General features: G+C 43.0%; 1 long non-coding RNA gene and 3 pseudogenes across 5 annotated transcripts in view; all 4 read left to right on the top strand.

The window, feature by feature from the left end:
- Positions 1-14,016, top strand: part of LOC101929200 (uncharacterized) — a 163,580-nt gene that overhangs the window by 22,697 nt on the left and 126,867 nt on the right. The window contains exons 3-4 of one of the 5 annotated variants that reach the window (XR_001742584.3): positions 6,353-6,485; positions 8,230-9,307. The exons of 2 other annotated variants lie outside the window; for them this stretch is intronic. This is a non-coding gene — a long non-coding RNA (uncharacterized LOC101929200). Of the gene's footprint in view, positions 1-5,410; positions 6,486-8,229; positions 9,308-14,016 lie in introns of those variants that run through there. 2 more of the 5 variants (XR_007059118.1, XR_241729.6) reach the window with 2 other exon arrangements.
- On the top strand, positions 2,465-2,956 carry MTCO1P31 (MT-CO1 pseudogene 31; annotated as a pseudogene).
- Positions 3,098-3,461, top strand: MTCO2P30 (MT-CO2 pseudogene 30; annotated as a pseudogene).
- MTCO1P30 (MT-CO1 pseudogene 30) lies at positions 3,476-4,055 on the top strand (annotated as a pseudogene).

Genomic DNA, 14,016 nt, shown 5'->3' with positions numbered 1-14,016 from the left:
CACCTTGACTTCAGACACTGGAATGAGACTGACTTCAGACTTCTGACCTCCAGAACTGTAGGTCACACCCAACACATTCCTGTTATTTCAAGCCAGCAACTTTATGGCAATTTGCTACAGCAGAAATTGGAAACAAATTAACTCATTTTTTTTATAACTTTAAACTTCATTATAGACACAGAACCTATTTCCTAGGGTTTGTACGAAGGCTAAATGAGTTAATTTATGTAAAGCACTTATATCAGTGTCCAAGATATAGTAAGCAGACAATAAGTACTGAGAATTGTTATTATAGGTCTCATATCTCTCTAATACTGAGTGTTATATTATGTCTATGAGGCTGCATATGGGCAGGGTGTCTGTCTGTCCCAACTCTGGGAGGCAGTGGTTGGCACGGTGCCGAATACCCCACAGGGCCTCCATGACTATTTGCTGACAGTCAGGTCAATGGATGATGCACAGCTTTCTCTACCATGCCAGAGATTCATCCCTTAAAATGCCTTGTCAGTGAAAGAAACCAGTTGAAGAGGTGATTCTAAACAGTACAAAGCCCTGAAGTTATTTCTGTTTGGCTTTGAAATAAACTATATAGTGTTAATGGCAGTAGAATTATCTTCCTCATCGTGTCTTAGGCATACATAATTCATTTTCACTTGATAAGCAACCCAAAGATGGAAGAAATAGCCTGGGTTTGTACTGAGTGGAAGGGGCCAAAAGAAGTAAGGAAGGGAAAGTCAGCAATGGACACTTAGCAGAAGACAACGGAACAGTGCAGGCACTCAGATATTCTATCCTTAGACGGGAAGTGACCTGCAGGCCCTGTGTCATTCAGGGTTCTCCAGAAAAAACAGAGCCAACTGGAGACAGATGGATAAAGGGAGAGAGAGATTTATTTGTTCATTTACTTATTTATTGATTGGAATTTGTTCATATGATTGGAGGGGCCAGTGAGCCCTAAATTTGCAGGGCAGGTGAGAAGTCTTGAAATTCAGGTAAGAGTTGATCTTGCAGCCGTGAGTCTGAGTTCCACAGGGCAGCAGGCTGGCACCTTGGCAGGGTTTCTGTGCTGCAGTCTTGAGACAGAATTGCTTGCTCTTTGGAACATGTCAGTCTTGGCTTTTGAGGCCTTCAACTGATTGGATGACCCACCCACATTAATTTATGAGTCACATTTTAAAAATAGCTTCACAGCAGCATTTATACTAGTGTTTGATCAAACAACTGGGCACCATAGCCCAGCCAAATTGACACATGAAGTTAATCATCATAGCCTCCAAAATGCCTAAGAGGAGCTCACGCATTTTTATATTCATCATTCTCCTTATGGCCCCATGAAAACCCACTAGAAAAAAATGAAAGACATAAACTTGGGGAAGCCAGATAGAATTTTCTCTTCTTATTTGTTTATTTATTATTATTATTTTTAGACAAAGTCTTGCTCTGTCGCCCAGGCTGAAGTGCAAATGAGCAATCACAGCTCACTGTACCCTCGACCTCCTGGGCTCAGGAGATCCTCCCACCTCAGCCTCCTGATTAGCTAAGACTACAGGTGCATACGACCACACCCAGCTAATTTTTGTGTTTTTTTGTCGAGACAAGGTCTTGCCATGTTGCCCAGGCTGGCCTTGAACTCCTGGCCTCAAGCCATCCTCCTGCCTCGGTCTCCCAAAATGTCGGGATTGCAGGCATGAGCACCCATGCCTGGCCAGATTGAATTTCCAAAACAATTCACCACAAGTTCCCCTTACATATCTTATAGACAGCCAGCAAGTCCATCTTAAATATGGCCTAATTTATATTTTCAGATTTTTAGGACGTGCCTAAGGATGTCCACATGATGAATACAGTGTGGCTGTTCTAAGCCAGCTTTGAGGGTGATACGCACCTTTGCCCCCACACATTAGTGAGGCTCACAGCAAGTTAGGTAGATGGGATCTGAGTCTTGATCAGCCATCAGCATGTGGACAGTGGCTATTTGTAAGATTATGCTGGGTCAGTCTCAGTGGTTTAGCTGGAATTTTCTGTTCTTACTGTCCTCTTCTGTGTGATACCTTGTTCCTCAGTTGTGTCCAAAACATGTTAATAGTTATAAATAATGTCTGACCATGCACACAAACATGGGCTTTTCTTGCAGTATTTTTTTTCTGTCAATATTTTCTACTTTATTTCAGGAAAGTTCTCTTCCAGCTCTTTTTTAGTGAGGCATTTCATGAAAGTCTCATTTTGATCCTATATCTCTTTTCTCAATTTTTGGAAAATTCTGATAAGATTTTCTGAAGATCCAAACTATGCCAGGCTACAGTGCTTTGCCCTTGTTTCTTAGGATGTTTAATTAAGGAAAGATAGTCCCCAAGGCAGGTTTCCAGAATTCTGCCTTCACGTGGTGTTGTAAGGAAATCTATTTCTCCTTTGCACAATAAGAGAAGCTTCCCATGACTGACTATAATCCCTATAGGAACAGCTGGGAGGCTTGACCGGCATTGTACTAGCCAACTCATCACTGGATATTGTATTACATGACACATAGTATGTTGTAGCCCACTTCCATTACATCTTATCAATAGGAGCTGTATTTGCTATTATAGGGGGCTTTATTCACTGATTCTGTCTATTTTCAGGCTATATACTCAACCAAGCCTATGCTAAAGCTCATTTTGCTATTATATTTATAGGCGTCAATTTAACATTTTTCCCACAGCATTTCCTCGGCCTATCTGACATGCCTCAACGCTACTCCGGTTATCCCGACACATACACCACATGAAATACTATCTCATCCATAGGCTCATTTATTTCCCTGACAGCAGTAATTCTAATAATTTTCATGATCTGAGAAGCCTTTGCTTCAAAACGAAAAGTTCTAATAATTGAACGACCATCTACCAACTTAGAATGACTATGTGGCTGTCCCCCACCCTATCACACATTCGAAGAACCAACCTACATGAAAACCTAAATGAAAAAGGAAGGAATTGAACCCCCAAAGACTGGTTTCAAGCCAATCCCATAACCTCCATGACTTCTTCGATAAGATATTAGTAAAATTATTTCATAACTTTGTCAAAGTTAAGTTATAGGTTAAGCCCTATATATCTTAATGGCCCATCCAGCTAAATTAGGCCTTCAGGATACCACATCCCCTATTATAGAAGAACCACTTATCTTCCATGACCATACCCTTATAATTATTTTTCTAATCAGTTCCTTACTTCTATACATTATTTCTGTAATATTCACAACAAAACTAATACTAACACCATAGATGCCCAAGAACTAGAAACCATCTGAACTATCTTGCCTGCCATCATCTTAGTCTTGATCGCCCTCCCATCTCTATGCATCTTATATATAACAGACAAAATCAAGAACCCTTCTCTCACCATTAAAACAATTGGGCATCAATGGTATTGAAGCTATGAATATACAGATTATGAAGAATTAAGCTTTGACTCTCATATACTTCCAGCAACAGACAGAGGTGATCCTATCTTCTGTCAACATTTATTCTGATTCTTTGGTCACCCTGAAGTCTACATCCTCCTCCAACCAGGCTTCAAGATAATTTGCCATATCATAACATAGTATTCTGGAAAAAAATAACCATTTGGATATAGGGGCATGATGTGAGCTATAATATCAATTGTTTTCTTAGAGTTTATCGTATGGGCTCACCATATATTTACAGTAGGCATAGATGTAGATACACAAGCCTACTTCACCTCTGCTACGATAATTATTGCTATTCCCACTGGCGTCAAAGTTTTTAGCTGACTAGCTACACTTCATGGCGGCAATACTAAATGATCCCCTGCAATGCTCTGAGCCTTGGGGTTTATTTTCCTTTTTGCAGTAGGAGGCTTGACCGGCATTGTACTAGCCAACTCATCATTGGATATTGTAATTACATGACACATATTATGTTGTAGCCCATTTACATTACGTCTTATCAATAGGAGCCGTATTTGCTATTATAGGGGGTTTTATTCACTGATTCTCTCTATTTTCAGGCTATATACTCAATCAAGCCTAGGCTAAAGCTCATTTTGCTATTATGTATTTTCTACACTGACTGAACATGTGGTTTGAAACCATCTTTATTTATTTATTTATTTATTTATTTATTTATTTATTTATTTATTTAGATGGAGTCTTGCTCCTGTTGCCCAGGCTGGAGTGCAATGGCACGATCTCGGTTCACTGCAACCTCCGCCTCCTGGGTTCAAGCGATTCTCCTGCCTCAGCCTCCTGAATAGCTGGGATTACAGGCACCCACCACCACGCCCGGCTAATTGGTGCATTTTTAGTGGAGATGGGGTTTCGCCATGTTGCCCAGGCTGGCCTCAAACTCCTGACCTCGTGATCCGCCTGCCTCAGCCTCCCAAAGTGCTGGAATTACAGGCGTAAGCCACCATGCCTGGCCTTGAAACCATCTTTCAAAATGTGGTCTTTTTGCAGTACAGCTGGGATGTCTCTGCCTTCCCCACCATGCACCTTTGTAAAGGGGCAGCTTCTGTCTCGCCGGTGTAACAGATTTCTTCCCTGTGTCCCCTTTCTCTTCTGTCAATGAATCATGGGTGGCTGTCAGCTGGGGACCACTCTCAGTGTCTCATGCACTGAATGCAACATGGACACAAACTTATGATAGGGCCAGGTGGGGGACAGCAAGAGGTGAGCACCGGAAATTGCATGAGCTAGGAGTCACTGGCTGGTAGTGGGTGAGGGACACGTGGTAGGGACAGTTTAGCAGCTGGATCAGGGTGGAAATCCAAACCCTGACAGCTGAGAAGTGGCACAGACCTGCTTCTGTGGGGATAAGTGTCCACTGGCCCTGGCCAACTGGCCTCCAGGGGGCATTGTTGGAATATGCGATCATCCCAAAGCACTTCAGCTTGAAGAAGATCTAGGACACAGTTTGTTGTTACCACCTCAGAGCATTTAGATGGGACGTGATGGATGGAATTGAAGTTAAAAACCCATCCACCATTTCTAGTTAGTACAGTAGGCTCCTGATTTACAGAAATGCTTGTGAAATTGAGAATCATGATAAAATCCTCATACCTCCTCGTTTGACCAAATCTTTCTAAAATGCACAATTATAATTTCTTATCTTTTAGTACATAGTAATTATGTTATATGTGTTATATACACTATGTAAATATAGTTAATTAAATCATTCTTTGGTGCTTGAAGACTTTCTAATTCATTACTTCATTCCAGACATCAATGACAACAGCACATACCGAGCAGGTACACATATGAGCTAGCTACTAATATGCCCTGATTTTGATTGTATTTTGTGAAAACCTTGGCATGGGTTATTTTTAAATGAATGTTTTCCCAAATTTTAAGCTGAAACTAGGATGCATCAAAATTATCTTGGTCATAATCTTGTCAATGATGTCATCTAAAGGCCACCAGGAACACACCTGTAGCTCAGCAAAGTTGAAGCCATCGACTGGCTCATCACAACAAGGAAGGCTGTGCACCACCAGGACCCAGCAGCAGCTCAGCAGCAGCAGTGAGAGGGCCTTGGGAAAGACTTGGAGGGTTTGGCTTATACAAGGTGATCTTGGGGAGGGCCAAGGAAACAGGCTGTGATGGTTAATATTGAGTGTCAACTTGATTGGATTGAAGGATGCAAAGGATTATTCCTGGGTGTATATGTGAGAGTGTGGCCAAAGGAGATTAACTTTTTAATCAGTGGACTGGGAGAGGCACACCCACCCTCAATCTGGGTGGGCATCATCTAATCAGCTGCCACAGCAGCTAAAATAAAGCAGGCAGAAGTTGGAATGAGCAGACTTGCTGAGTGTTCCAGCCTTCGTCTTTCTCCCATGCTGGATGCTTCCTGCCCTCGAACATCAGACTCCAAGTTCTTCAGCTTTTTTTTTTTTTTTGGACTCTTGGACTTATACCATTGGTTTGCCAGGGGCTCCCAGGCCTCTAGCCGCAGACTGAAGGCTGCACTGTGAGCCTCCCTACCTTTGAAGTTTGGGACTCAGACTGGCTTCTTGGCTCCTCAGCTTGCAGTCGGCCTATTGTGAGACTTCCCCTTGTGATCATGTGAGCCAATTCTCCTAATAAACTCCCCTTCATATATACATCTATCCTATTAGTTCTGTCCCTTTAGAGAACCCTGACTAATACACAGGCCATGCTCAGATGGAGTGCTGTCTGGAAGTGGGAGTAATTCTGTGGTTGAATGTCTTAATTGTCCTGGAAGGTGGGAGAAATGGAGTGAGGCTGGTGCTACAATTGATGTAAAAGCAGCAGCTGCTCACATAAGCCGGGGTGGGGGATGCCTAGGCGTATTTGTGGTATTGACCACGTTCTTGTTTTTGTTTGTGACCAGACCAGATTACAGAGGGGTATTGATTTGCCTTTCCCCCGCCCCCACCATCACAGTGTGTCCCTGTCCAGTGTTGGTGCTCTGTGGCATTGCTTGTGTCCATAGGAGTCCATCAAGGCAGAGCGGCAAGAGCCAGGTGAGCTTCCAGCTCTTCCAGGCTGCATGTCCCCCTCAATATCCTGTAAGTTCTGATCCGGCAGATACTGAATACTCAAGGGTTCACATTCTCTTAGCCTAGAGGTGGCTGCAGTAATGAAAGGCATTTGGCTGATGTGTTTTCAAAGGAGAGGGAAGCTGTCTGTGTTTGTTACCTGAGGCTGCATAACAAATGACCACAGCCTAGTGACTCGAAACATCACACACCAGTTACCTCCACTCTCAGTAGGTCAGAAGTTCAGGCATAGACCAGCTGTGGCCTCCACTCTGAGTCTCAGTAGGCTACAATCAGGGCTCAGTCAGGGCTGTGGTCCTGTCAGAGGCTCTCTCAGGTTGGTGGTGGTTGTAGGACTGAAGTTCCTGTTTTTGGGGGGTAGTCAGCTGGTGTATTAGTCTATTTTCACACTAGTGATCAAGACATACCTGAGACCAGGTACTTTATTTAAAAAAAAAAAAAAAAAAAGAGGTTTAATGGACTCACAGTTCCATGTGGCTATGGAGGCCTCACCATCATGGTGGAAGGCAAAAGGCATGTCTTACATGGCAGCAGGCAAGAGAGAATGAGCGCCAAGCAAAAGGGGTTTCCCCTTATAAAACCATCAGATCTCATGAGACTTATTCACTACCATGAGAACAGTATGGGGGAAACTGCCCCCATGAATCAATTATCTCCACCAGGTCCCTCCCACAACATGTGGGAAATATGGGAGCTACAATTCAAGATGAGATTTGGGTGGAGACACAGCCAAACCTATCAGCTGGGGACCACTCTCAGCATCCAGGGGCTGCCATGGTTCCTGCCACGTGGCCTCTCACAGTCCTTCCTACAGGACGGCAGCCCTTCTTACACAAGTCAGCAAGAGGGAGTCTCTCTTGCCCCCACTTGCTAAGGCAGAATCTCACATCAGATGTAACCATCACATTTGCTGTATTCTATTATCTAGAATTATGTCACAAGCCCCTTTATGCTCAGGGGAGTGGATTATCCAAAACATAGATCACCGGGGAGGGGTGACATTAGGGTGTGTTGGCCACATCACCTGAGAGTACATGAAACATCTCTCTCATTTCTTCCATTTCTTGAGCTTTTAAAAAATTACTAAATGAATAAACATAGACAATTTAGATTGCATGAATGAATACAAAGAACATATTATCATTCCTAATTATCACAATTTCTACCACAAAGATGATCAGTTGTAACACTTGCATGTAGGTACTGGACCAGTTTTTATAAACCATCCCAGCTATGGTCTACTGCTCAATGGGACTGTTGACTCTTCAGAAGTATGGTCTGGGATCAACCACATTCTTGCAGGCCACCAAGAGGAGGCATCCATCTCCACAGAAGAGAGACGAGCTCTGGGCTTCTTCTGCACCTTCACAGTGAAGGCTTAACGGGGCACATGGATCCTTATGTTGCCCTAGATATGACATTTTTACATTTTTGACTTTTCACCCTGTAGTGGGGGTTAAGGGCAGAGCTACAGGCATCTGGTAGGTATAGCCTAGGGACATTGCTAAATACCCTTCCACAGGGAGGACAGTCTCTGACCACAAAGAATTGTCCAGCCTAAAACGTCAATAGTGCCAGGGTTAAGAACACTGGCTCCAACCTTGTACAAGTCTGTGAAGTTCAAGACATTGTGGAGGTTTTTCTTGTTTTGTTTTGTTTTTTTGCTATTTACAAAGGTGTTCTTTTCTCTCCCCATCATACTTCACAGTTCAACCCAATGGAAATAGATTAAAAGAGTGAAAGTCACTGGTCTCAAAGAATCTACGGAATTCAGCATTTTGGAAATCACATAGCAATTTTGGGTAGGTATTCACATGCACTAAAAAACCAGGCAAACATCCGACTCCCAGGATAAAGTGACTGAGAGCAGTAGAAGACTTGTTGAGCCGTAAGGAATAAGAGGAAAATTATGTTATGAAGTGCAGGAACAGCACAGACCCAGACGAGGGGATGCAGCCCAGAGCCAGTAACCCGGTGCCTCCTCCTCCCCAGGAAGCAGCGCTGGCTGATCCCCAGATACCATGATCACACCGTCCCAGGTCCTGAGAGCGCCTCATAGGTAGACAGTTCTTTGGGACTTTTGGGACGCAGCACTTGAAGAGAGGTCTACCTAAACTTTCCTCCTGGGAGCCTGTGATCATTTGAAAGTAACAGAAGAAAGTTGTCAGGCTGAGGAAAGTTTCAACAGGCACTTGGTGAGAATGGGAAGCATCCATTCATTGCGAAATCGCGGGGACAGAGGAGGAATTCACGGGATCAGAGCACTGAGAAACTCCAGAGGCTTCTGGTTCACCGCCCTGATTCCACAGATGTGGGTCAGAGGCAGAGATGGAAGTTGGAATGGACAAGCCTGCCCTCTCATCGGCTCTCCATGGCTCTGTCCTCAGGCTGTTTCTGCAATTTGACATGAGGCCTGGCCCCAGGGAAACCAGTGGGGCCTCATCTCCTCCCTGTGCTGCTCTGAGATGGAGTCTTCTCAGGGTCAGTCCAGCTCTGGAGCCCCTCTCCAGCTCGGTCACCAAAGCTGTCTGGTCCCAGGGCGGTGCTGAGTGACAGGCACACCAGCCAGTCCAATTGGCCATTTCATACCCAATGCATGTGACTGATAAAGAGATAACACCCTGTCTCCAAGACACAGGCTTTACATAAACAGCTTTAATGACCTCTTCACCTAGAGACAAGACTCCTTAGTGGTGGAACCTCAGGCATCCGTGCAGGATGTAAGAAAGCTCCCGTATATACATGAACTGAGAAGTGTGTAGAAGAATAAATACTGTAATAGGTAATAAAATGTATGTATTTTTATTTATATGCTACTTTCTCTTTCTCCCTCTCTGTGTATATACACATATATACAAAAATGTATTCATTCTGTGGAAAACATGAAAGATGTAATATTCTTTACATATGAAATTTTAATGTATTAATTTTTTCTGATCATATGAACACCACAAATATAACTTTATAATTTTTTTACCTAACAATAAGTCTTAAACATAAATATACACGGACAATATCGTAGTTTTTTTTTTTTAATCATAATTAAAATGGTTGTGAAACATTCCACTTTAATTTGTTCCTCCTAATCCCTAGGGTGGTACATTAAGTGAGGGTTTCTGAGCCTTGGTACCATGGGCAGTTTGGGTTAGCCCATCCTTTTCAGAGACCCTGCCCTGGACACTGCAGGATGTGGCTTCACATTCTGGTCTCTGCCCACTGGGTGCCAGAAACATCCCTTCACCTTAGCTGTGGCAATCAACACTGTCACTAGACATTGCCAAATGTCCCCTGGAGGACAAAATCACCCTAGGTTGAGAACCAATGGCATTTTTTTTAAAACTATCATTGTGAGACAAAGCCACCTGAACTTCCTTGCTGATGTCTCTTCACTTCTTTTTTTTTTTTTTTTTTGAGACAGAGTCTTGCTCTGTTGCCCAGGCTGGAGTGCAGTGGCATGATCTCAGCTCACTGCAAGCTCCGCCTCCCAGGTTCACACCATTCTCCTGCCTCAGCCTCCTGAGTAGCTGGGACTACAGGCGCCTGCCACCACTCCTGGCTAATTTTTTTGTATTTTTAGTAGAGACGGGGTTTCACCATGTTAGCCAGGATAGTCTCGATCTCCTGACCTCATGATCTGCCCACCTTGGCCTCCCAAAGTGCTGGGATTACAGGCATGAGCCACCACACCTGGCCTCAACTTCTATCTAATTCTATTCAGAGGGAAAATTTCCAGAAGCGACATTCCTGTTGCAGAGAAGAGATATTCACTTGAGAACCTTGATATATATTTGCCAAATTTCTGTCCAAGTATCATTTTTAAAAAGTTAAAAACATGACTTTCATACAAACACATACAGAGCATATGTCAAAGGTGTATTTCTCTAATGCAATGAGACAGCCAGCAGGACAGTGAGGCTGCAGCAGCATGGCAACAGAGTGCAGAAAGAGGTCGCAGAAGCCTTGGAAGAAGGTCATTCAGTCATACAAGGACACCCTGATGCTTGGGCTGCGGTCCTTTCCAAGTCCACGGGGCGTTGTTCCTTTGTGTCAACACCAGACAAGACTCATGGGCACTGCTGTCAGTGTTCTGTGTGTTATAATACCAGGGACCCTCACATGGCTGTGGTGATTCTAACCAATAGAAAATAATAAGTCGAAGCAAAGACCGTTACCCCTAATGAGAACACGGACAGAGCCATCCTTTTGACTATTTCCAAGTTTTGATTTTTTTTTTCTTACGTTCCCTTCCTGAAATTTTAAAATTTACCCTCCCTTCAACTGACTCCGTTCCCATAACCAAACCAGCAGGAAGGATTATCACTCATTTTTATTATACCCTATTGGACAGATAACTCATTATTTTGTTTCCATTTATTTCATTAACAGTGAGGTCAAATATATTTTCACATATTTATTGGCCATTTGTGTTTTAATTTACTTTGCCTATTCATGTCCTTTGTCCATTTTCCTTTTGGGGAATTCAACTTTTTCTTATTCATTTACATCTGTATAACACCATTTGTCTTTCATAAGTGTTGCAAATATTTTTCTCCATTTTTCCTTTGCCTTTTCATTTATGTTTTTCTTTAATATAGAAATTTATATGTAGTCTCAATTATTTTTGTGCTTTCACTTCTGGGATTATGTAGAAAAGTTCTTTCTTAACTCTGAGATTAAATATTTATGTATCCTTTTTTTTTTAGTATATTTAGAGGTTATACTTAAATTCGTTTGAAATTTATTTTAAAATAAGATGAGAGTTGGTGACTAACTTTGTTTTTTCTTTTTACCAAAGAATTAGCAAGTTTTATTGACTTTGTTATTGAGTAATTCATCTTTTTAAGTCATATTGCTCATGTGTTAGTCCCTGTGTGTGAGAGGCCGTTTCTGGACTGTCTACTCTGTTCCCTTGATCTGCCTATTGTCTTGGCCCAAGGCCATACAATATAAATTCCTGTTGATTTATAATATACTTCTTTATCTGGCATAGCAGGTCTTGTTTTAAATGCCTTATCTTTTATTTGCAAGTAGATAGAGTGTTTATTTTTATGGAATTTGGATAAGTTAAAAGGTGGGTTTTTTTTTTTAAAGACAGTGATTTTTCATTCTCTTATCTAGCCAAATATTTTCCCATTAAAAATGCCTTTAACTTCTTAGTGAACATGTTGAGGATGTACATTTCCCCGTGTATTGAAGGGCGGTGCCCCTCACCTTAAATATTGTTACCAGAGCTCATTTTCCTTTGCCCAGAGTGCCTGGAACATTGAGGCCCAAGGTCAAAGGGATGGGGGTGTCTGAAAGCTGGCAGAGAGCCCTGGGCACTAGATGGGGTACAGGCACTCTCACAGCCTGACATGATGGAAGGAACAGATCACCTGCTACAGAGAGTCAGCAGATCTTCATTTGTTTGTTTGTTTTTATTAGCTTCTCAACCAGCTCCTCAAAGTGGGTTCCATGGACCACTGCATTTCCATGAGATTCAGCTGAGTGGCTGGAGGAGCGTGCTTGTTGAGTCAGTGAGGAAAAATGTGCCAGGTTAGATAATACTGAGCAAGTTCCTCTGCTGCAGGACTTCTCAGGACCTTTAATCTCTGATACCCTGTCCGAGAATGTGATGATTATTAGACCTTGGCACCCTTCTTCAAGAAACAACCACCAACATCTCAATGAATGCTTGCCTTCTGAGCACTGCTGCCTGGGAAAGGCTATTTTCCTGATACTATTGTGTTTTCTAAAAACATTGTGAAAAAAAAAATGAAATGTCTCCAACAGTGAAAATAAGAACAACTGTAATTATTTATACTCATTGACAACAAGAATAGGATTTATTCTACCTTTGGTGGCAGCTTCTATTTTTATGAGAGATTTCTACACATTTTCTTGGCAGTCCTCACCCCTTCCCAACGAGGCATGACAGACAGGCATTACCACGCCAGTATGGTGAGGAAATCAAGGCTGAGCAGGGACACCATGTAGCCATGGCATCTTCTTAGCAATCTTTATCTGTTGGTTCCAAAACAGATTTTGTAGTTTTCCTTTGCTGTGCAAAAGTTACCACAAACTTAATTACTGAAACCAATAGCCGTTTATTAGCTCACAGATCTTATAGGTCAGAAGTCAGGGTGCAGTGAGGCTGGATTTCGTGCTAGGGGTTTTGTGCAGTGAATTTGGGTGCTGGCAGGGCACTTTTCATTTCTGGAGGCTCTGGGAAGAATCTATTTCTGCCTCATGCAGAGGCCTCATGTTGGCAGAATTCAGTTCCTCCTAGCTGTAGGACTGAGAACTCCAGCTCTTAGAGGCTCCCCACATTCCTTGCCACATGGACCCCTCCATCTTCAAACCAGCAACAGAGAATCTCCCTCCCAGTCACCCTCAAATATCTTTCTTCAGGAAGAGCCTCGTCACCTGATTAGATCAGGCCCACCCAGGATAATCTCTGTATCTTGAAGTCAGTTCATTGGATTCATCTTCAAGACTTTGATTTTATCTGCAAGATCTCTTCACAGCAGAACCTAGATTAGTAATTGATTTAATAACTGGGTGACAATTTGTGTATACTGGGGCCGGGGATGAACAGGGACTTTCAGGGGTCATCTTAGAACTTTGCCTCCCTCATTCACTTCGTTCTCATTGGGGCATCAGGACTGTACTTGCTTTAGATCCTTCCTGTGCTACTAGGATGATCCACATGTGATTGGGGAAATCAATGAGTCAGAACAGATTTGTTTTAGTGTGAGTAGAATGCATCCGAAGATGCCAATGAGGACAACCTGGAAAAGTCTTTATGTCTGACAAAATGCGTTCCCTCCTGCCTGCCTCCCGTTCTAGAGATCAAAAGAATCGGCATAGTTGTTAGAAAGTTGCCGTTTTATGCATGATTTTAAAAGTATCCATTTTAGGCTTCGCTGTTGTCTGCAGTTGATATGGTGCTCGATATATTTGGGGCAATGAAATGACAAACAATCATGGCACTGCTATTCTTGACAAGATGTTAATATAATTCACGTTTTGTTTGCCCTCAATGATAAATCAAAAGCAATGACCCACTGCAAATCCTCACACTGAGACATTTGGATATGAATATCACATCCTTGCATTGTATTCACCAGGCTTCTGGTGAATTCACCTTCTGAATTCTTGATGTCAAATTTGTAAAACTTCCTCCATTTGTAAAGTTTTCAGTGAGATCCCAGCAAGTAAAAACATTAGCCCTAACAGGCTGCCTGGGGTGTGGGTGAGTTGGTTGCAGCTCTCCATATTCAGGCAGAGTTGGGAAAGAGGTGCTGGAGAGATGCTGAGGGATTATCCGCTCAGCCTCCACCAGCCTCATCTCTGCGGGAACCGTCGGCTGTCCATTCTGACCCAAGGAAGCTGGATTTCCTGTTTCCACGTGAGGCGAGCGAAGCTACCCTGGGGGCTAGAGAGGAGTCCCACTGCTTGGTTTCCTCTGCTGGGGGGCCCAGTCACCAACAGCCTCCCCTTCCCAGCTGTTCCC

This window comes from Homo sapiens, chromosome 5, assembly GCF_000001405.40.
Source record: "Homo sapiens chromosome 5, GRCh38.p14 Primary Assembly".
Classification (NCBI taxonomy): Eukaryota; Metazoa; Chordata; class Mammalia; order Primates; family Hominidae; genus Homo; species Homo sapiens.
The sequence above is the reverse complement of the archived record's forward strand: the minus strand, read 5'-3'. Positions and strand labels throughout refer to the sequence as shown.